This window comes from Homo sapiens, chromosome 7, assembly GCF_000001405.40.
Source record: "Homo sapiens chromosome 7, GRCh38.p14 Primary Assembly".
NCBI lineage: Eukaryota > Metazoa > Chordata > Mammalia > Primates > Hominidae > Homo > Homo sapiens.
The window spans coordinates 122,349,807-122,372,242 of NC_000007.14; the positions used below are offsets into that span (position 1 = coordinate 122,349,807).

Genomic DNA, 22,436 nt, shown 5'->3' on the forward strand with positions numbered 1-22,436 from the left:
GCTACACCTAATCCCACAGGTGCAAGTCTTCGCTTTCCCTATTCATGGGTAGATGGGTGCAACACTGCAGTCATTTTTCACGGCAACAGATTTAGACACAGAAGAAGCTGCTTAACCTTCCACTGAAGGTTAGCAATACACTACACAAACACTGTCATGGTGCCTATTTAACAAGGAGACAAATTTTTAAATATACTATTCCAGCCTCAAAGCTTAACTAGAAGCTACAGTGTAATTGACTTAATTTGAAAGTGCACTTCTCATAACCTAGAAAAGCTTGCCTTGAAGAAACAATCAAGAGTGGAAGTGTAATATCCTGCGTTATGATTATCTGCTTGCTTTGTAAATGAAATACCTGTGTCTGGCCATTCATTACCATTTGAGAAAAAAGGATCATGTAAGATATAAGACAATAAATAACATGTCTTCGAAATTTGAAATTGTAGTAGGAGCAATTTATATCTCAATTCTGGCATTTAAGATTCAGTAAAAATTTATAATTGATCATAGAACATAGTTCTACAAACATGTAATTTATCTCAGGTATTGTTAAAAACAATATTTTTCTTTCACTATTTAATATATCTTTAATGCTCTGGCATTTATCAATTTCTGTATTTTTATATTTGAATAAAAATCTCCTGAAATTTTTCAAAAGCATTTGAAGTAGTTTAAATAAGTTATATGTTCTCACATAAAAAAGGTTTTTTCATATATTCATGATTATGTTGTAAAAAACTAAATACAGTTTGCCAAGTTTTTACAAAGTAGATTATATTGTATTCCCACAGAAAACCAGATGGAAATACACAGAGATTACAGAGCCTTCTAATTACATTTATGCCAACTTAAATATTTAATAAATATGATGGGAAGAGAAACAGTTGATAAAGAGGGGGCTGGATGCAGTGACTTATGTCTATATTCCCAGGGCTTTGGGAGGCTGAGGTGGGAGGATTGCTTGAGGCCAGGGGTTTGAGACCATCCTGGGCAACATGGCAAGACCCTGCCTGTATAAAAAAGTAAAAAATTAGCCAGGCATGGTGGTGCATCCCTGTAGTCCCAGCTGCTTAGGAGTCTGAGGTGGGAGGCTGCGGTGAACTATGATCACACTACTGCCCTCTAGCCTGGGTGACAAAGTGAAACTCTGTCTCTAAAAATAATTTAAAAAGGGGCAGAGAGGAAGAAATTTAAACAACGAACAAGTCACAAATATATGCATTTTAAAAATAGATTTTTAAAAACCATGAATGAAAAAAAATCTCATTGTTATTCCAGACTGGGCGTGGTGATTCATGCCTGTAATCCCAGCACTTTGGGAGGCTGAGGTGGGCAGATCACGAAGTCAGGAGATAAGAGACCATCCTGGCTAACACGGTGTGTTACTAAACATCGTCTCTACTAAAAATACAAAAAATTAGCTGGGCATGGTGGCGGGTGCCTGTAGTCCCAGCTACTTGGGAGGCTGAGGCAGGACAACAGCATGAACCCAGGAGGCAGAGCTTGCAGTGAGCCAAGATTGCGCCACTGCACTCCAGCCTGGGTGACAGAGCGAGACTCCGTCTCAAAAAAAAAAAAAAAAAAAAAAAAAAAAAAATTCCAAACTATTATTTCAAGAATGAAGCAGCCAGTTAACTTTTTTTTTTGTTAAATTTAGCGGTATTCAAAATTCTATTAATTATTATATGTTTAGGTAGTTTTGACTCCAAACTGGGAGTAGACAATTCTGAATTAAAAATAATGACACTCACATCCTTTTGAAAACAGCTTTTAGATTTAGAGCATGTAACATGTGTTTTAAGTAGGTACATTTGATTCAATCCCACATTTCTAAGGGGCTGTTCCATTACTGCAGAGTTCTTGTCCTGGATCAGGGTCCTCTGTCTGTTACTTGAGTATAGTTGGTAAAAGGCAGAATCCTACCTTAATGCTATGAAGGTATCTGATATCAGAATCTATTATAATTAATGCTACTAAAACTTAGGTAGTCATATTACTTTTATTCTTAACAGTCACATGAATGTTTCACACTATTTCTTCTAAGTAGTTACATAATTTATACATTTATAGGTCTAGAAACAGTTATGTAGCATTAGTATGTTACATTTTATTATATCAATGGGGAAAATCCTTTCAAAGAGAAGTTTCTTTTAAATATTAAAATAAATACTGAATGATAGTTTAAGATATTAGCCTGAACTACTCAAGGGGACAAGGTAATTTTCAATTGAGATCTATGGGTTTACAATGCCTTCCCCATTTGGGACTATGAGGATCAAGTATCTTGCTATTTCTGATCTACGGTTAGATCACTAACATCCCAGAGTTTAGAGGAATAGCTGCTAATACAGTAGCACCAAACACAAAATGTGCTAATGTGTACACTACCTATGAGCTTTATACTATTATATTCATAAGTAGCAATCATAATGATGATGGTTTTAAATCTCTCAGTTCACTAGCCTTTCCCTCATCTACAGTTGTGTCAATTAGAAAATACTACATGAGGACTTGAAGAAGTAAAATTAAAATGCTGCATTATTTCATTTTTAGCTTTTAAAGTTTAGATGGACTGGGATGGGTTTACTCAGCTCAATTTGGAATGATTCAGATTTTGGCTTAAGTGACGACTCAGGGTGCTAGAATTCCAGTGTCTGGAGGCAGCTCATGGATTTATCTTACATAAGAGAGAAAAGCCAGACAGACAAAACACAAAGGAATAAAGAAGCAAAACATTCATCTGGAAAGCACAACACACAACCTCCTCCACTCCTAGACGAGTGAGGCTCTTAATCTGGTCCTGGTGTGCATCCCTCTCTCTAGGTGAATATGCCCCTGTGGGCAAGAGCTCCATTCCCCGAGTTCTGTCTGGCTCTCATGCTGATGTAAAGCTCCGAGTATTCAGGTGTGGTTATCTAAGTAGTAAACAACATGAGAAGCAAGGAAGCAAAAGAAGGAAGAGGGAAAACACTAATGTCACTGAACTGACTGATTATACCCTAAAAGCCACCAGTGTGTACTATTCTAAAAGGGAACATAAATGAAAAAATAAAAAGCTAATATTGTTCACTCTGTGGAAGGCAACTGGTTTTTCTTTTGGTAACTGGTCACGTTCTTAAGTAGTGAGCAGGAACTAGGGAGTAATGCATGGGAGCCGGAAGCATCATTCCAGGTAGAAACAATAACAATTTATTGCAACAGTGCTTTACAATTCAAAGCACATTCACGTTAATGTGCTCATCGAATTCTGAATTCTCATAATGAGGGAGGCAGCACAGGGATTATAGGTTGGTGCAGAAGTGATTGTGTTTTTTGCCATTAAAAGTAATGGCAATACTTTTAAATACTATTATCCTCACTGCATGGGTGGGAAAATGGAAGCCCACAGATCAAACAGCTAGATAGGAGCAAGGTGGAAAATGAACGGAGATCCTCGACCCCATATCAAGTCTGTGCAGTACAGAGGTGGGTAAGAACCACCTTTTGGGGATTTTGAAATGAGAAATCTTTAGCAAGTATCATAAAGATGAGAGAATATTTGAGAGAATTCCTAATGAAGATAAGAGAAAGATTAGCCATCTCCTTTATCTTAGGACAAACCACCAAGATCAGGCATCAGTACGATTAAGCCAATGAAGAGAGACAGTTTCTTCTTCCTTCCTCATTGTTTTGGTCTTTTCTTGGCCACAGTAATCTTTATCGTATCCTCCAAGTCTCTTCAGCTGTTTCACCTTAGTGTCTAGCATAGAGTTGGTATGCAGCGTGTGTGATAATGTTAATAAGACCATTTTAAATAGGGATTTTAAAAATCAACATACATCCTTAAACCCCAAAATGTCCTGTTTAACTAGAATGACAATAGAATAAAATTCCAGAATCAGAGTTGGAAAGAACCTTTAATGTCATCTTGTCCTATTTCCCACATAATGCAGAAATCTTCAGTACCACACCTGGCAAACAGTGGTGCAGCTTTTACTATGTCACCTTTGTAAATAACTTTTTTTTAAAGTTTTGTCTTACACTGATTTCAGTTCTGCTCCCACTTGTTTTTAGTCATTGTTCCTAGTCCTATCTTCTTGACTGATACAGGCTCAGGCTGTTCCTTTTTCCAAACAGGAGCCCTTTACATATTGATCAGGGCTACCTTATCTCTTAGATTTTTTTTCCCTCTTTCTAGGAACAGTCAGATTTCTTTTTTTTTCCTTCATAAGCCACTATTTCCAGATCCCATTAACTAGCCTGGCTGCTTTCTATAGGAGGAAGTAAAGTAAAAAGAAAATGTTGCCTTGAAAGAATTCAGATGTGACTTGTTCACAATCATACAGATGCGATCAATATGGTATAAGTGAAATGATTATTTCCTACAATGTAGATACTAGATTTTATTGTAATCAATAATAATAATAATGTATGATAATAGCTAGCATTTATTGTGCACTAATTCCATTCTAGGAACTGTGAAAACTGCTTAACATATTCACAATAAGCCTATAAGAGGTGTAATTACATCTCCATTTTACAGAAGAAGAAACTGGTGCCTAAGGTCACACTGATAATAGATGAAGTGATGGAGCAAGGATTCAACCGCCAGCAGTTCGGTTCCTCAGCCTGTAAGTAACCCCCCTGTTATGCAGCCTCCATAGATCTATATACCTGATTTTTTCAAAAAGTACTCCATATTATTGTCAAACATGATCTTTTATACAACTTTTTACATACATTTGCTATCAGCTACATCTTACCCACCTTACGGGTGAGCAAAACTTTTTTTTTGGGGGGGAGGGGTTAGTATAATAATTTAAACCTGCAGAATTTTTGGTTCTTAGTATTCCTATCCGCAAAGCTAATATGAACATTTTCATCCTCGTCCTGCATCTAATTTCTGTCAGATCTGAGTTCCCTTCTAAGTTACTATTGAACAGGACAGACTCACCTAGTCCAGGTCTTGCTTTTTCTTTCTCACTCTTTTTTCAAATGTCTGTTGTCTTTGCCACCATGAGCATTCCAAGGTTCTATGATGGGGCCATAAACTGTATAACTGCCACAGAACTCCTCCCCAAGATAGGGTTGTCTAGCCAAGAGCAATCTATCAAACTATACTGAAGGACACAGTTCATCATCTAGATCAGAAAGATATCAAGGAGAATCCTACCAACTTCTTTGTGAAGAGGCACGTGCCTGGAATTTATTTCTGTTCAGGACTACACTGAAGCATTTTTCTCCTAAGTATGATTTTTTTTTCATTCATAAAGTGTCATGAGAAGTATATGTTACAAAGATACAAAAGACTATGTTTATTATATTTAAATGGTTTGATTTGGGTCATTTTCTGTTAACTCATACATCTTCAACTGTGCTATAATTATAAGGAATATCTGACAAGTATGTTCTAGGAACATGAATTCCTCCTTTTCTGCATAGGAATGCCACTTAACTTCAGTTGTAATTTTCACGTTATAGAATCAATTTATTTATTGCTTTAAAAACATTCCAGCCAGGCATGGTGGCATATGCCTGTAATCCCAGGACTTTGGGATGCCGAGGCAGGCGGATCACCTGAAGTCAGGAGTTTCAGACAGCCTGGCCAACATGGTGAAACCCCATCTCTATTAAAAATACAAAAAATTAGCCAGGTGTGGTTGCACATGCCTGTTTTCCCGGCTACTTCGGAAGCTGAGGCACGAGAATCACTTGAACCCGGGAGGTTGGAGGTTGCAGTGAGCCAAGATCAGGCCACTGCACTCCAGCCTGGGGCACAGAGTGAGGCTGTCTTATTAAAAAAAAAAAAAAAATTCCGACAAGTGACGGTATTATAAGAAGGTATTGCCTTCTTATCCAGAAAATTTTTTCTAGCTCTTTATCTTCTCATCATCTTCCAGGTGGAATTTTTGGGCTCTGTTGTCTCATAGAGAGAACTGGACAAGAACTCACATGGTGACAGAACATTACAGTTAAAAGAACTAATGCAGTTATGTAGCTTATTCACTCATTTTATAGATGACTAGACTGGGGCCACTTAAGTAATGCCCAAGGTCATACAGTTTCAAGGGCACATAGCCAGATAAAATGAATTAACAGTAAGGTATTATTAAGTCCTTGGCCAGTGCTTTTTTCTTTTAATAAACATTTTATTTTAGAAAAATTTTAGATTTACAGAAACACTGTGGAAATATTAGTTTCATATAACCCACACCCAATTTCCCCTATTATTATCATCTTACATTAGTATGGTACATTTCCTACAATTAATGAACATATATTGACACAATATTATTAACTGAAGTGTGAGCTTTATTCAGTTTCCCTTCGTTTTTACCCAATATCCTTTTTCTCTTCCATGATATCATTCAGGATACCACGTTACATTTAGTAATTTGGTCTCCTTGGACTCCTCTTGGTTGTGTCACTTTCTCCTACTTTCCTTCTTTTTGATGACCTTGAAAATTCTGAGGAGTATTCTCAGATATTTTGTAGTGTATCACCTATTGAGATATGTCTGATTTTTTTTGATGATTAGACTGCAGTTACAAGATTTTTAGAGGAAGACCATAGAGGTAAAGTGCCATTTTCATCACATCCTGTCAAAGGCTGATATTATCAATATGATTTATCACTGCAGATGTTGACCTTTGATCAACTGGCTGGGGTAATATTTCTCAAATTTCTCCATTGGAAGTTTATTCTCCCCATCTTCCTTTGCTTATTGTACTCTTCGGAAGGAAGTTACTATGTACATCCCACACTTAAGGAGTAGGGATATATGCTCCACCTCCCTGAGAGGGAAGTATCTATATTAATTATTTGGAGTTCTTCTGCATGGGAGAGCTGTCTTTTCTCCCCATTATGTACTTCAATATTTACTTGTATCAGTATGGACCAATGGATATTTATTTTATGCTTTGGATTATAATCCAATATTACTTTACATATTTGCTCGCTCAAATTACTCTAGCTTAGGCCACTGGGAGCTCTTTCCATCATCTGCTGTGTCTCTTTGAAACACAGAGTTTCCAGTTTTGTGTTTTTTGTGAACATCTCCTTTCTGTTGCTACAAGATGCTCCACGTTCATCTTGTATATTTTTCAGCACCAGCCATTTCTCCAATGAGCCCTGGTTCATTTCATTAAAGATTAGAGAACAAATTTGAGTGCTATGTGGGCTTGTTGCTACTGGGGCATCACTGTTTCTAGGCTCTCTGAGCTAACAGAGCAAGAAAATGTATGTGAGCACATTAACGCATGCATATACATATATCTAAAAATACTGTTAAATGTAACCAGCTCTATCTGTACTAAGCTAAAGACAAATTCACACTGATATTTCCAACTCTAATCCATTACAGGATCATTCTAGTCCCCTTCCTTTGCTTGCCTCTAACCTGACTCTAACGGTGAGAAACCTGGCTCCTACCAACCACCATCCATTTACTTAATTGTTCAATTCCAATACACACGTATAGTGGCTTCAAAATTGTTAAACTGTGGAGAAAAACTTTATCAACCAGAGTACAATGCTTATTTATAAGTTCCATTTCCCCTTATTCTTACAGACTCCACTAATTTCCAAAGTTACTCAGATCAGCACTTTCCTCGCTCCTCTTTCAGTGAGTTTATCTCATACATTCACAATAGAATTATTTTATTATAGTTTCCTTTCCATCCTGGGATTCTATGATCACTTAATTGATTTTTAAATAATTGAATATACTCAAGTTCACTCTTTTTGCTATAAAGTTTGGTTTTGACAAATGCACAGTGTCATGTATCTACCATTACAATATCATACAGAATAGTTGCTGTGTTCCAAAAAATCCCCTGTATTTGAACAATTCAGCCCTCCCTGACCTTGAACTCATGGCAACCACTAATCTGTTTATAGTCTTTATAGTTTTGCCTTTTGTAGAATGTGATATAAATGGAATCATACAGTATGCAGCCTTTTCAAATTGGCTACTTTTGGCAATATGCATTTAAGATTCATCCATGTCTTCATGTGAGATGAGAGCTCTTTTCTTTTTGCTGAATAGAATTACATTGTATGGACGTACCAATGGTTATTTATACATTGACGTACTACAGGACAATTTTGGTTGATTCCAGTTTGGGTGATTATAAACAAAGTTGTTATGAACATTTGTGCATAGATTTTGGGGTGGACATATGTTTCAAATCAGTTGGATAAGTGCAGAGAACTGTGATTGGTGGGTTACATAGTAAGGCTATATTTAGCTTTAAAAGAAACTGGCAAACAGTTTTCCAAAGTAGCTGTAGCATTCCTACCAGCAATGAATGAGAGTTCCTGTTGCTCTCTTATCCTCGTCAACATTTTGCTGTTGCCAGTTTGTTTTTGGATTTTGGCCATTCTAACAAGTACATAGTGGTATCTTCTTTTAATTTGCATTTTCCTAATGACAAATGATATTGAGCATTTTTTCATAAGCTTACTTGGTATCTGCATATCTTTCTTGTTGCAGTGCCTGTTTGGATCTTTTGCCCATTTAAAAAGTTTGGTTGTTTTCATATTGTTGAATATTAAGGGTTCTTAGAACACTTTGGATACAAGTCCTTTATCAGATATGTGTTTTGTAAATAGTTCTTCCCATTTGTGGCTTTTCTTTCTCTTAACAATGAATAAGAGTATACTTATCAATTTTTAAGTTCAATTTATCAATTTTTTTTCTTTCATGAATTATGTGGGGTTGTATCTAAAAACTCATCACCAAATCCAAGGCCATATATATTTTATCTTATATTTTCTTCTTGAAGTTGTATAGTTCTGCATTGTATGTGGGTCTAGGTCTGTTTTCAGTTAATTTTTGTGAAAGGTGAGCCAGCGCTCTTTTTCTCATGAGACTCTCTTAAGAGACAGCTTCAGAGAGGCATACTTGCTGGAGTTTGAGTATAAAAAAGAATAACGGCCAACAAGACCTTACAGCTTTTAAAGTTAATATTCACAGGCATCAACAATAGAAGTGTAATGTCCATAACTGAAGAAGGAATTCATCACTTTGTAATCTGCCATGGTCAAACCACATCTATGGTATAGTATGTTCTGCTCCAGGGGGCAACTTGATTTAATGCTGACACTGATAAGCTAGAATTCCTCTAGGTTAGTAACTGGCATGATGAAGAGTCTGGATATGATTGCCATAGAAGTGTGCATAATGATATGTCTGTTTCCCTATGTCTTTTGTCTTTAATATTGTGAACCATTTGAGGGCAAGAAATGTACGTCTCATCATGTATGTCCAGGATCTAGCACTTAGTATGTGCTAAATAAATATTTAAGTAGTGGGTTTAGTGAATAAATTGAGAATGTTTAATCTAGAAAATAAGCGTTCCTCAGACAACATATGCCTGTGAATAGCCACCACACCTCCTGGGAAGAGGAGGCATGAAAATTGTCATTAAATATGCAAAGAGCTATCATGCAGAAGAGAGATTAGAACGAGGATTAATGGGTAAAATTCACAAAGATACAGAATTTCAACTCATAATACTTAACAGTAGGCTGCCATATGGTCATCCTGTAACCACTGAAATAATTAAACAGCACCCAAGTGAATCTTTGTAAGGGATGTTAGAGAGGGGTTACTTGCACTGAGAAGGGAAGTAAATGAACCATTTTCTGTCTCCTTCAACTCTGAAATTCTATGGAGAGAATAAACTAGTATAGGGCCAATTAAAAACCTCAAAATCTCTAAGAACATGAATAATTTTGGTGTCACAGTCCATTTGTAATTCAAAATCAAACAAAAACTATGTGTGTTACAAAGTCCAATGTGATATATACAAGATTATTTGTGCCTTCCTTTTTAAGATATCAAACATAAAATCTCCCCTTAATTCTCCCTTTCATGCTGCTGCTTTGTGGGGCTCTACATATGTGATTTTTTTCTACTTATGGTCCAGCACTGATTCCTTGATTCTAGGTACAGGACGAGGAGGGTATGAAGACTTCTTTGGGAAACATTTGTAAAATAAAAAGTCCAGTTCCAAAGAAACCCCATGCAAAGGTAGAAAAGTCCAGGGCCTTCTCATTTAAAATACTCATTTATAACTACAGCAGCAATAAAGCCAGAGACAAAATGTGGTGGTGCATCCTAAAAATAAGAGCTATCTACAACTGATACATAAAGCTTGCCAGCACTCAAAACTGCTACCATTTCTAATGGCAATGTAGAGATATAATGTTCTTCAAATACAAAGAGAGAATTTATATTCCATCTAGTCTTAAATCTTAATTTATTTTTCATTGTGCTCTAATTCTAATTCTTTGAAAATTGACATATATGCCAAAATAAATGATTAAACAGAACACCTTAGGCCTTGATCATATAGGTGATAATAGAATTTAAATCAAAAACTAATTTGGTATGATGATTAGCTTAAAAATGCTGCACAACTTGTTGGTTATGTTTACCATGTGAACGTTCTCATTGTAGCTAAGTCAGTTTCATGATTTCTGCTCATGGAATCTAAATTTTGGAACAAATTTATGAGTTATTTCCCAAGAATTCTATGAAACAACAAATGTTAAAATAAGTAACTACTGATTTATATAACACTTGTGTATTTAGAAAACTAATTCTTTAACTGGTTCATCTTTATCATTATTCTACCTTCTATAAGAAACCCATTACAGCTTTCATAGAAAGGGGAGGAAAAGCGAGCAGTTTTTCTATAAATAGTGTGAGGCATTTTTCTACCCCATCCTAGAGTGCTATAACTTCCCTCTGCAACTCAGGTGATATGTTCTTATGATGAACTGATCTCCTTAAGAGTTTCTGAGTTACAACAGAAAAAGTCAACGAAATAACCTTGCTATGTCTTGTTATGAAGGTTAGTGCTTGCTTAAGGAAAATAAACTACTCCCTAAGGGAATGGCACTGGTTTAAAGATTTGAAATAAACCCATGATGAACTGCAATTTTTTTTTAAAGAATTCCATACAGTTTTAAAAAGCAGATAAAAAATACTTACTGGAACATCAACATATTTTGCAGCTGCTTTCACCTTAAGTGTGAAAGAAAGAGATAATCATGAGAATTATTTTTTTAACTGCCATATAAGTACTATGACAACAGTTAAAAGACCACAGAAGAGAACTCATTCAAATACTTACAGTGAATGACAGAATGGATGAAAAGAAAGTGCCTTCATCATACCTTGACAGCTTAGACAACACGCCTTCCAACACTGAAACAAACTATAATACAGTTATAGTGAGTATTTAGAATGTTACTATGCATACAAACTAATAGCAGGACAAACAATTCCTGAATCAATTTCTTCCATCGCACAAAAATTCACAATGAATGAACTGACAGCTGAGGTCAGACTAACTTGTGATGTTTACTCTTTCATTCTGAACATGAACTCTACTGTCCTTTTCTTTCCCATGGCTGGAAATAATACACTTTTTTTTTTTTTTTTTTTTTTAAAATGAGATGGAGGCTTGCTCTGTCACCCAGGCTGGAGTGCAGTGGCGTGATCTTGGCTCACTGCAACCTCCACCTCCCGAGTTCAAACTATTCTCCTGCCTCAGCCTCCCGAGTAGCTGGAACTACAGGCGTCCGCCACCACACCTGGCTAATTTTTGTATTTTTAGTAGAGACGGGGTTTTACCATATTGGCCAGGCTGGTCTCAAACTCCTGACCTTGTGATCCACCCGCCTTGGCCTCCCAAAGTACTGGGATTACAGGTGTGAGCCACCGTGTCTGGCCAATAATACACAATTTTTAAAAAAATAAAAGATAATGTGTCATAGGAATCTAGTCACTATACATATGAGACCACTGAAGCCATTCATAAACAATCTTAGGTCCATGAGATTTTTCCTTAAAACATTTTTCAACTTCAATGTGGATGTTAAGAAACAATGGCAGGCAAGCTTAATCAGATTCCTTTCTATTTTATATTACTTGCCATCCTTCAACTTTTTCTACATCTACACAGGAGGTTGAATATAAAAGAACAGATAATGGGCCAGGCAGGGTGGCTCATGCCTGTAATTCCAGCACCTTGGGAGGCCAAGGTGGGCGGATCGCCTGAGGTCAGGAGTTCGAGACCAGCCTAACCAACATGGAGAAACCCCGTCTCTACTAAAAGTACAAAATCAGCAGGGCATGGTGGCTCATATCTGTAATCTTAGCTACTCGGGAGGCTGAGGCAGGAGAATTGCCTGGGAGGCAGAGGTTGTGGTGAGCTGAGATCATGCCATTGCTCTCCAGCCTGGGTGACAAGAGCAAAACTCTGCCTTAAAAAAGAAAAACAAAAACAAAAACAAAAAACCAAAAAACAAACAAACAAAAAAAATGAACAGATAATGAAAGGGAGGTGGTGTAACATATGAGCTCTTGTAACTATGACACAATGGCTGACATTAGTTAACAAGCATTTACCAGGCAGTTCTAATTGGCACATATAAGGATCATCCCTGCTTCCCAAAGCTTACGTAGCAGTTATGGAGAGAAAACAGATACACACTGCAGAGTACAATGGAAAAGAGCACTGGACTCAGAATGTATATCCCAATTCCATCACTCAGTAGAATGCAAGCTCAGTTTGACCACCTTACTTCTCAGGCTTCCTCCATCAGTTAAATGGACTAGGGTGAGGGGGGTAGGATGTGGAATTCAAATTAGTCTCAAAAGTGGTTTACATTTCTAAAACTTTATATTTCTATGAAATAAAAAAACACATACACTATAATACAGTAAAAATGTGAAGCATTTTACTTTATTTAGCATGAAAATCGATGAATAAGAGATCTTAAGAATGACATACTGCCCTACATCTCTCCTCCTTAGAACTAAAATAATATGAACTATTGACACATTATAGATTCCCAAAGGGAAAATGCTGACAAGGTTTTTTCAATAGGAAAAGGGAAATTAACGAAGACTGGTTTTTGTTCACATAGCAGCTTCTTCAACAAAGTGATAATAGTTCTAGGGACACAGCTTATTGGTCTCTGGTGACCAGAGAACTCGCTGTGAGTGCATAGGAGATAATCTTTTCTTTATGGCTGATCAATTACTACAAAATAGTTTATGCAAAAGAAACAAAAACTTCCCTATAGGTTTCTCCATCACATCATTTGCGACATGATGTAAGAACACAGAAACAAAACCATGCAGACTGACTGTGAACTATAAGTGCATTTTTAAAGAATGAGAATAACGTATGCTTGGGTAGCTATCCTAAAGGATGCCTAGGGAAAAAAAATCCACCCACAAAATTGCGAATTGCTCACATGTAGAAGTTAATTTAGCACTTTCTTCCTGCCTGTTAGGATTTCTTACCAATCATGACTGGCTAACTCAACTTGATGTAGTTTGCAAGGACCCAGAAGATGAATACTCTAGGGTTATGTCAGACCAGGGAAAGGGAATTCCAAACTTAATGGCCCTCTGTGGAAAATGCCTCATCTCTTGTAACTCAAATCTTGGAGCAAGTGTGTACTGGGTGATCTCATTTGCCACGAGGACAGCGGCAATTGCTATGGTTACTAGACAGCTTGAACCATGGAGGCTGTAGCCCAGCACCTGATTCTTGGTGCTTGCTAGTGAGTCTGTGCATACACACATGTGTGTTGCTGAGGGACAAAGCAAGATAGAGGCAGGAAGCCTGTTGATGAATTTGCTGAGGGACAAAGCAAGATAGAGGCAGGAAGCCTGTTGATGAATTTGCTGAGGGACAAAGCAAGATAGAGGCAGGGAGCCTGTTGATGAATTTACTTCTTGGCTCAAGTTGCAGCTCTGCCGCTGTCTGGCTACGAGATAAATGTCAAGTCATTTTGCTTCTCTCTCTTCATTGTACTTCTCAGTAAAGTGGGGAAAAGGACAGCTATCCCGCCCACCTTACAAGAATGGTCTGAAGATCAGTGGAGGTAATTTATGTGAAAGAACTGTGAAAATGGCCAAACACTAAAGAAATGTAAAGAATTAATATTATCCATATGATTAGCAAAATCACTATCTGTGTCTAAAAACCTGAATACATTAAGTCACAAGTTAATGGGGGCTGCCTTAGAATTACTTAGTGACAAAGAGGAATGAGTTTGGTCCTTAAGCTAATGGGTCTAATTCAATTAAATCTATGGGGCTTCTATGGAGGTAGAATAGAGCTGAGGCTTTAAGTCAGAAAACCACTGGGATTCCGCCTGTTTCAAGGTTATTTGGCAGACGGCAGAAGGAGGAAGGCTTTAAACACAGGTGGTCTTGATCCAAAGCCCATGCTCTTTACCCATCATGCTACAGAACTGTAAGAATTAAGTGATACGCCATATGCAATGTGCCCAGCATATAAATACTCAAGGGTTCAGGTGTGGTGGCTCACACTTGTAATCCCAGCACTTTGGGAAGCCAAGGCAGGAGTATTGCTTGAGTCTAGGAGTTCAAGACCAGCCTGGACAACATAGCAAGATCCTGTCTCTACAAAAAAAAATTAAAAAAATTGGCTGGGCATGGTGGCGTGTGCCTGTAGCTTCTCAGGAAGCTGAGGTGGGAGGATTGCTTGTGCCCAGGAGTTCAAGGCTAAACTGAACAATGATTGTGCCACTGCACTCCATCCTGGATGACAAAGGAAGACCCTGTCTCAAGTTAAAAAAAAAAAAAAAAAAAAAAAAAGAACTTGGCCAGGTGCCGTGGCTCACGGCTGAAATCCCAGCACTTTGGGAGGCTGAGGTGGGTGGAACATGAGGTCAGGAGATCGAGACCATCCTGGCTAACACAGTGAAACCTCATCTCTACTAAAAATACAAAAAAGTTAGCTGGGTGTGGTGGCAGGTGCCTATAGTCTCAGCTACTCAGGAGACTGAGGCAGGAGAATGGTGTGAACCCAGGAGGCGGAGCTTGCAGTGAGCCGAGATTGCGCCACTGCACTCCAGCCTGGGCAACAGAGTGAGACTCCATCTCAAAAAAAAAAAAAGAGCCCAATAAGTGTCATTTTGTTTTAATTATTAATGAGTACCTAGGATAAGACATACAAAAACACAACAGTCTTAGATCTTTCCCTTTGGGAAATACAAACTAGTGGGAGAGATAGACATGAACATAACTGCACATGACACAAGGCAGAAGTGTTATGGGCAGTGTAGACAGTAAGCAGTATAGCTGAAACCAGAAGAAGGAAATAATGTCTTTGACTACAGGATATGGGGTCAGCTTCACTTATGAGTTGGCACAGGAGCTGAGCCAAAGGATAGCAGAGATAGAGTGGCTAAAATGACTCTCTGGGAAGGTTGCTGGCAAATGCATTTAGGGCAGAATTTTCTCCATGTGGCATCTGGCAGCCTGTTTGGCTCATCTTCTTCAGAGCACGAAGCAGCATTGGCTTATATACAAGTTAGTCCTAGGTGTGAACCTGTGGTCTGCTGCATTCATGTCTCAGCATTCTTTGTCTCCATTTCAAAAGTAGTGGAGAGTCTTTCCTCAGCTTCCTCCCTATCCCTAAAGGTCCCTGGGGAGGCTCAATACAGCTGGGAATCTAAGTGCTTACATGGCAGTGAGCAGCGACAGCACCTGTGGGATTAACCAGCTGAGGTGTACAGTTCCTACAGGAAAGTTTTCTTTGTAAGATTTTTGTTGAGGCACACCTAGTAGAAGAGCTACCTTAAAAATCAAACTCTATTATAAACATCAAGATTGACTAGTAACGATATACCTTCCACCTGGCTTTTAATTGCATAAAACAGCAAGATTCCAAAGAAACCCAGTTAAATGTTGGGTTTAGTTGCTGCATCTTTAACTGCTTCCTGTGAACTTTCTCTGTACAGCTCAGGGAGTATATAAACACTTATGGGTTTGCCTTTGTGCTGTCTGTTCTCCTGAGGGTGTCGGGTTGGAATGAAACACTGTAATCTCTTTGTTGCCCTGCTCTTTATTACTGATGCCATTAACTGGGCTTGTTTGAAAAATATTTAACACCTAAAGTCTGCCTGGGTAATTACTGACTTTGTCTCATGAAACTCTTGGAAGTGACTGGTAGAAGGAAACATGAAGAGTGCTTCAAGGCATGTGCATTTACATTTCTTGTTGATTTTGACAGCATATAAGATTCATATGGAAGGTAGAACCATAAACTCTAAGTGACGGGAGGATTCCAGCTAGGGTTCAAAACGAACAGTTCTTGCATTTTTAGCTGTGACACTTCATGAAATAAACAAGGAATATTTGCATCATTTACACTGCACGTTATAAAATCTTCCACAGAAAACACAAACATCCCTAGTATGGCTGATAATGAAAAACTAAGTGTTTTCTGTGGGGGAGGATGGGATAGCTGTTTTGTTTTTTTTTTTGTTAAGATCAGGACTAACTAGTATTGTTAAAAATCTGCACATGTACTCCATGAATTTAGTTAAAAAACTTTTAAAAATTAAAAATAAACTTGTTTTAGTAACATATTCTTAAAAAATGTGAACACAGTTCCAGAATATCATGAACTAGGAGAAAATAGGTTGTCTTCCCTAAATCAGAACGTTAATATATGATAATAAAATAATACGAGGCGGCCAGGTGTGGTGGCTCACACCTGTAATCCCAGCACTTTGGGAGGCCGAGGTGGGTGAATCACGAGGTCAGGCATTTGAGACCAGCCTGGCCAACATAGTGAAACCCCATCTCTACTAAAAAAAAAAAAAAATTACCCGGCCATGGTGGCGGGCGCCTGAAATCCCAGCTACTCAGGAGGCTGAGGCAGGAGAATCGCTTGAACCTGGGAGATGGAGGTTGAAGTGAGTCGAGATTGCGCCACTGCACTCCAGCCCAGGCAACAGTGCAAGACTCCATCTCAAAAATACACACACACACACACACACACACACACACACACACATATATATACATACACACATACATATATATATATATACGTATATATATATATACGTATACATATATATATACACACATATATGTATAATAACACAATACAATTGTCTCTTTCCCATCCTCTTTCTGTGAATCCAGCTGCGAAACTACTTATTTGAAGCTTTATTCCAACTGACTCCTAAAAGGCCTTACCAGATCCTGCACGTTATAGGAAGGAGGGAGTGTTTGACAGCAGGTATTTATTCATAACATACCTTGTTCTGCAAAGTATCTAGGACAACTTCTAAAACAGCACACTTAGACCAGATGTTGGTGAATTCACCACACTGTTTTCTCTCACTCTTCCTTTCATTGTTCCTCCACAAATAAAGTGAACTATTTTACTTTGCATTCTCTCTCTGCTAAAGGCTCCTAATATCGTATGCTATTCCTTTTGGGCACATACTTGGATTTTAACAGATGCCTTCTGAATATATGGCCTTGATCCAAACAAGTAAATTGAGTAAGTTTAATGCAATTAATTTCACCAGGCTAAATTAACAAGAAACTTTAATTACATAATCTAGGCAGTCAGATCAGATTTATCTTCTATCTATCCTATTCTTAAGAGAAATCCAGGGGAAAATATTCTAAGTTATGAGAGAGAGAAAGCGAGAGAGAGAGAGAATGTATATATACCCGTATATCTGTATCAATATAGTTGTGGGAAAAGTGTATATTATTTCCTAAATCCTTTTTTTTTGGCAATAATTGAGAATCTAGGAAGTTGGATATTACAGAAATGATCTTTTAATTCATACCCAGAAGTGATGGAGGCCCTGTTCAGCAGTGCTTTCTGAGAGTTGTCATTTTTTTCACTCTTGGCTCTGTTAACCATATTCTAAACCTTCCCCCAGTTTTTTTTTTTTTTTTTTTTTTTTTAAGACAGTCTTACTTTGTCACCCAGGCTGGAGTGCAACGGCGTGATCTCAGTTCACTGCAATCTCTGCCTCCTGAGTGCAAGTGTTCTTGTGCCTCGGCTTCCTGAGTAGCTAGGTTTATAGGCATGTGCAACCATGCCCAGCTAATTTTTTTTTTTTTTTTTTTTTTTTTTTTGCTTAAAACAATAAAAGTTTATTATGGTATAGTTCTGTAGTTCAGAAGCCTAACAAAGGCTTCACTGGGCTAAAATTCAAGTGTCAATAGGGTTGAGTTCCTTTCTGGAGGCTCTAGGGGAGAATTTGTTTTCTTCACTTTTCTAGCTTCTTGCCTGCATTCATGGTTCATGGTCTCTATCCTCCATCTTCAAAGCTGGCAACATAGCATCTCTCTAACCCTGCTTTTGCCATCTCATCTTTCTCTCTGACTCTTTTCTTTTGCCATCTCCTTCCCCTTTTAAATACCTTGTGATTACATTGGGCTCACCTGAATAATTGTTATCTCACAGGGTTTTGCCATGTTGGCCAGGCTGGTCTCGAACTCCTGACCTCAAGTGATCTGCCTACCTCGACCTCCCAACGTACTGGGATTACAAGTGTGAGCCACTGCACCCAGCCTTGGCATTTTCATTGCTATATATAAGGTATCCCATTTTCATCTACCTGACTTAGAGTTGCCCCACCTGGTTACTCTAGCTGGACTCTACAAGCTGGTCTCACAGAATGTATGCATGGAGGGACCCACAGGCTGGCTGGTACAACCCAGATATAAAAGGGACACAAGAGGACTGGAGGTGAAGCTATCACTCTTTCCCTCCCTGGTCTTGCTGAGTTCTGCATGGTGTTGTGGAGAGATCATAGGCTTAGGGACCACAGGGGCCAAATCCTGGCTCTGCTGACATCTATTGTGTGGCCTTGGGCCTCTGTTTCCTCATCTGTGAACAGGGAGACTGGACTGGTGACTAGTCCTGCCTTGAAACATGAGGCCACCCAGGTAGGGCCCCAGGCCTCCTTTCCCTTCTTAATCAGACTGACATCAATGCTTTGATTGGTGTTATATTTTGCAGTGCTAATATACATTTGAGACATTAATATATTTTATAAACATTTTTAAAGCATATAAAAATGTATCTTAAAACTATAAAAATGTTTGAAAAGTCCCTAGTAGATGACCTCAGGACTCTTCCAAATCCAGCATTCCGTGCGCCATGAGTTTCTAGAGCCTGGAGACAACAGATGCAGGCCACCAGCAGGCTCCATGCAGATATGTGCGTAGGACTTTTGTTCTAGATTGAGAAAAGGCTGTCAGTTTTTAAAAAACCCAATACCCCCACTTTTTTTGATGAGGAAAATAAGTCATGTGAGGACACCCAGCTGGTAACATAAGAAAATGGGACTAGAATCCAACTTTTCTGATGATCCCACACTTCGGTTGGTTTAATTTTAATATAAAGTGGCAATAAATATGACATTTCTTGTACCCTTTCCTTGGTAAGATTTAATGCTCCTATTTTTTTTCCCTTGGTAAAAATTATTGAAGTCTTTCTGGCTAGAAGAATTTTTGTTTCCCCCCCCCCCCCCCTTTTTTTTTTTTTGAGTCTCGCTCTGTCGCCCAGGCTGGAGTGCAGTGGCGCAATCTCGGCTCACTGCAAGCTCCGTCTCCCGGGTTCACGCCATTCTCCTGCCTCAGCCTCCCGGTAGCTGGGACTACATGTGCCCGCCACCATGCCCGGCTAATTTTTTGTATTTTTTAGTAGAAACGGGGTTTCAGCGTGTTAGCCAGGATGGTCTCGATCTCCTGACCTCGTGATCCGCCTGCCTCAGCCTCCCAAAGTGCTGGGATTACAGGCGTGAGCCACTGCGCCCAGTCTTCCCCTTTCTTTTAAGGTTACTTTCCCTCTTTTCCATAGGTGTTCCAGTTACAGCACCTTGGCCTGAGAACAGTGGCTGCTGATACAGTCCTTTTTTCAATTGTTGAAATCTTATAATCACATCAATATTTTGACCCCATATCCCTCCTCTGAGCTCCAGACCCAAATAGTTAATATCCTCCTTGACATCTCCTCCCTCAGGTGTCTCAAAGGCAGCTCAATCTCAACATGTCCAATACTGACATCATGGTCTTTCTCTCCAAATCTGTTTCTCTTCCAGGACAGCCTGCATCTAGGAATGATACTAACATTCAGGCCATAAACCTAAGAGTACTCCTTACTATTTCCCTTTTCATTGTACATCTGAAATGTCTTTGGATTAGTTCAACAGAGACCAAGTAACAGCTTCTACACTATCCCCTCTCCAATCTGTTTGCTACAGGCAGTCAGATGAATCTTCTTATAATGCAAATCTGATTAATTCCCTACCCACACTCTCCAACCTTTCAGTGACTTCCCATTGCTCTTGGGATAAAGACTTTAAGCTCCTTAGCACTTCCTACAAGCTTCTGCTCACTTCTGCAGCCTTGTCTTGCTCCAGGCCCTGGTTTCTGCAGTTTCTCTTACTTAAATGGTCCTTTCATCTCTCTTCTCCTGGTTAACTCTTTCATTCTTAGGAACTCAGCTCAAGCTTCACTTGCTTGGGAAAACTTTTCCTGTCCTCCCTGACTAAATGAGTTACTCGGTCACAGATTATCCTACATGACACATTTGTATGGCTTGCATTTTATGTTTGTTAGTGTGTCTCCTCCAAGGGTTAGCAAACTCCTTGAGGGCAGGGACCCTGCTGTTTTGCTTAGCACTGTATCCCTGGCATTGAGCATACTTTCTGGCACAGAGCTGCATCCTGAAACTCTACATTGCCTCATGGCTGTGAATTTCAATCCTTTTTAAAAAATGAATATTGCCCTTTTTCATTTGGGGCAGAGTCACAGTATATAATTTTATGCAAAGTACTTTATGTTCTAGGTTAGAGACAAGAACTGGAGTATTGATGCCAGAGCACATTCCTTTAGCATTTTCCAGATTTACTTTCATCTACTGGATTATATGACAAGCAGTGTACAAAGAATAATAGATAAAGAGGATTCAGAGACACACACATAACCATGAAGAAATGGCAGAGAAAGTGGGCACAGAGGGCATTGGGTAAGGAGAGGGCTAAATTTGCTTAGGAAGATGTAAGATGTCTTCTAGAAAGGAGAGCAAACCAAGACTTTTCTAGTTGAATTATCAGAAGAAAGCAAAAAAGGGCTCTTCAAGTAGGGGGCAGAAGTGAAAAGGCACAAGGGTCTGGAAAAACTATGAAACCAATAGAACTTTGGAATAGCTAGAGTTTAAGATGTGGGGGAGAGTGTTATGGGGACAAGAGCAATTATACTGTGAAGGGACTTGTAGGTGATGCTAAAAAGTTTTTCTTGTGGGTCAACCTTTCACAAACTATATTCTAAGGAATATTAATTCCTGCAAGATATTATTAGGAATTCCAGAATAAAGGGCCCCAGGACAGGTTAAGTGTAGGAACACTGCACTCTCAAACACTACATCCTGAACTACAAGGAATACAGTGTTCCCCAAATGGGTTAGTAACCTCATCTCATGGGACATCAACAAAACTCAAGTACAAGGTGTCCTGAGACACAATTTAGGAAATGATGGCACAGGGAATAAGGAATGCCTACAACATATGAAGCATCGGCAATAAATGGTCAAATCGGTATTTTGGAAAGATACTCTGGCTTCAGGGCTGTATTAGTCTGTTCACACACTGCTATGAAGAAACACCCAAGACTCGGTAATTTATAAAGGCAAGAAGTTTAATTGACTTATAGTTCTGCATTGCTGGGGAGGCCTTAGCAAACTTACAATCATGGCGGAAGGCAAAGGAAAAGCAGGCATCTTCTTCACAGGGCAGCAGGATGGAGTGAGTGCAAGCAGGGGAAATGCCAGATGCTTATAAAACCATCAGATCTTGTGAGACTCACTCACTATCATGAGAATAACATGGGGGAAACCACCTCCATGAGCCAATTACCTCCACCTGCTCCCACCCTTGACACATGGGGATTATAGGGATTATAATTCAAGATGAGATTTTGGGTGGGAACACAGCCAAACCATATCAAGGGTGAAGTGGGGGACCATGGTGGAGATCAGTAAGGCAAGAATTTAAATGAGGAAATGATGAGGGCCTGAAGACTATAGTACTGCCAGTGAGAATGGAATGAGGCAGAAAAGGGAGTGTTTAGGAGACTGACTCAAGGCCCTGATGTCCTCCTGTGTGATGTGCTTGAGCAGATTCTATAAAGACAGGGACACTAGGATGACGAGATTTTACAATGGGGTGATCAGTACTGCCAATGGAGACAGCAAATGCAAAACAAGAGGCACCTGGGGTGGGGTGGAGGTGATATGGGTATTTTTAGACTCTGACCTTGTAGAGATGTACAGAAAGCAACTGGAAATACGGGATTTTAGGTGATAAAAATTAGAGGAACAATAATAACAATATCAACTAATATTTAACAATGCATTGGCCACTGTTCTAAGACTCTATCTGTATTAACATACTTACTATTCACTAACACTAATAAATGCTACTATTATATTACTCCTACTTTATAGGAGAGGAAAACTGAGCCACAGAAAGCTTGTTTAAGTAACTTGACTAAGATCAGACAGCTAGTGGAGGAGTTGAAATTTGAACCCAGGTCAGAAGTTGGGCTTTTAATTGCTATTCTGCACTGCCTT

At 38.8% G+C, this 22,436-nt stretch overlaps 1 protein-coding gene across 29 annotated transcripts in view; it reads right to left on the minus strand.

Moving 5' to 3' along the window:
- CADPS2 (calcium dependent secretion activator 2) overlaps window positions 1–22,436 on the minus strand; it is a 568,050-nt gene that overhangs the window by 31,396 nt on the left and 514,218 nt on the right. For all 29 annotated transcript variants that reach the window (NM_001363398.2, NM_001009571.4, XM_047421032.1 and 26 more), the window contains 2 exons: window positions 11,124–11,207; window positions 10,982–11,014 (listed from right to left, as the gene is read on the minus strand). In NM_001363398.2, coding sequence (NP_001350327.1) covers window positions 10,982–11,014; window positions 11,124–11,207 — 117 coding nt within the window. The remainder of the gene's footprint in view (window positions 1–10,981; window positions 11,015–11,123; window positions 11,208–22,436) is intronic.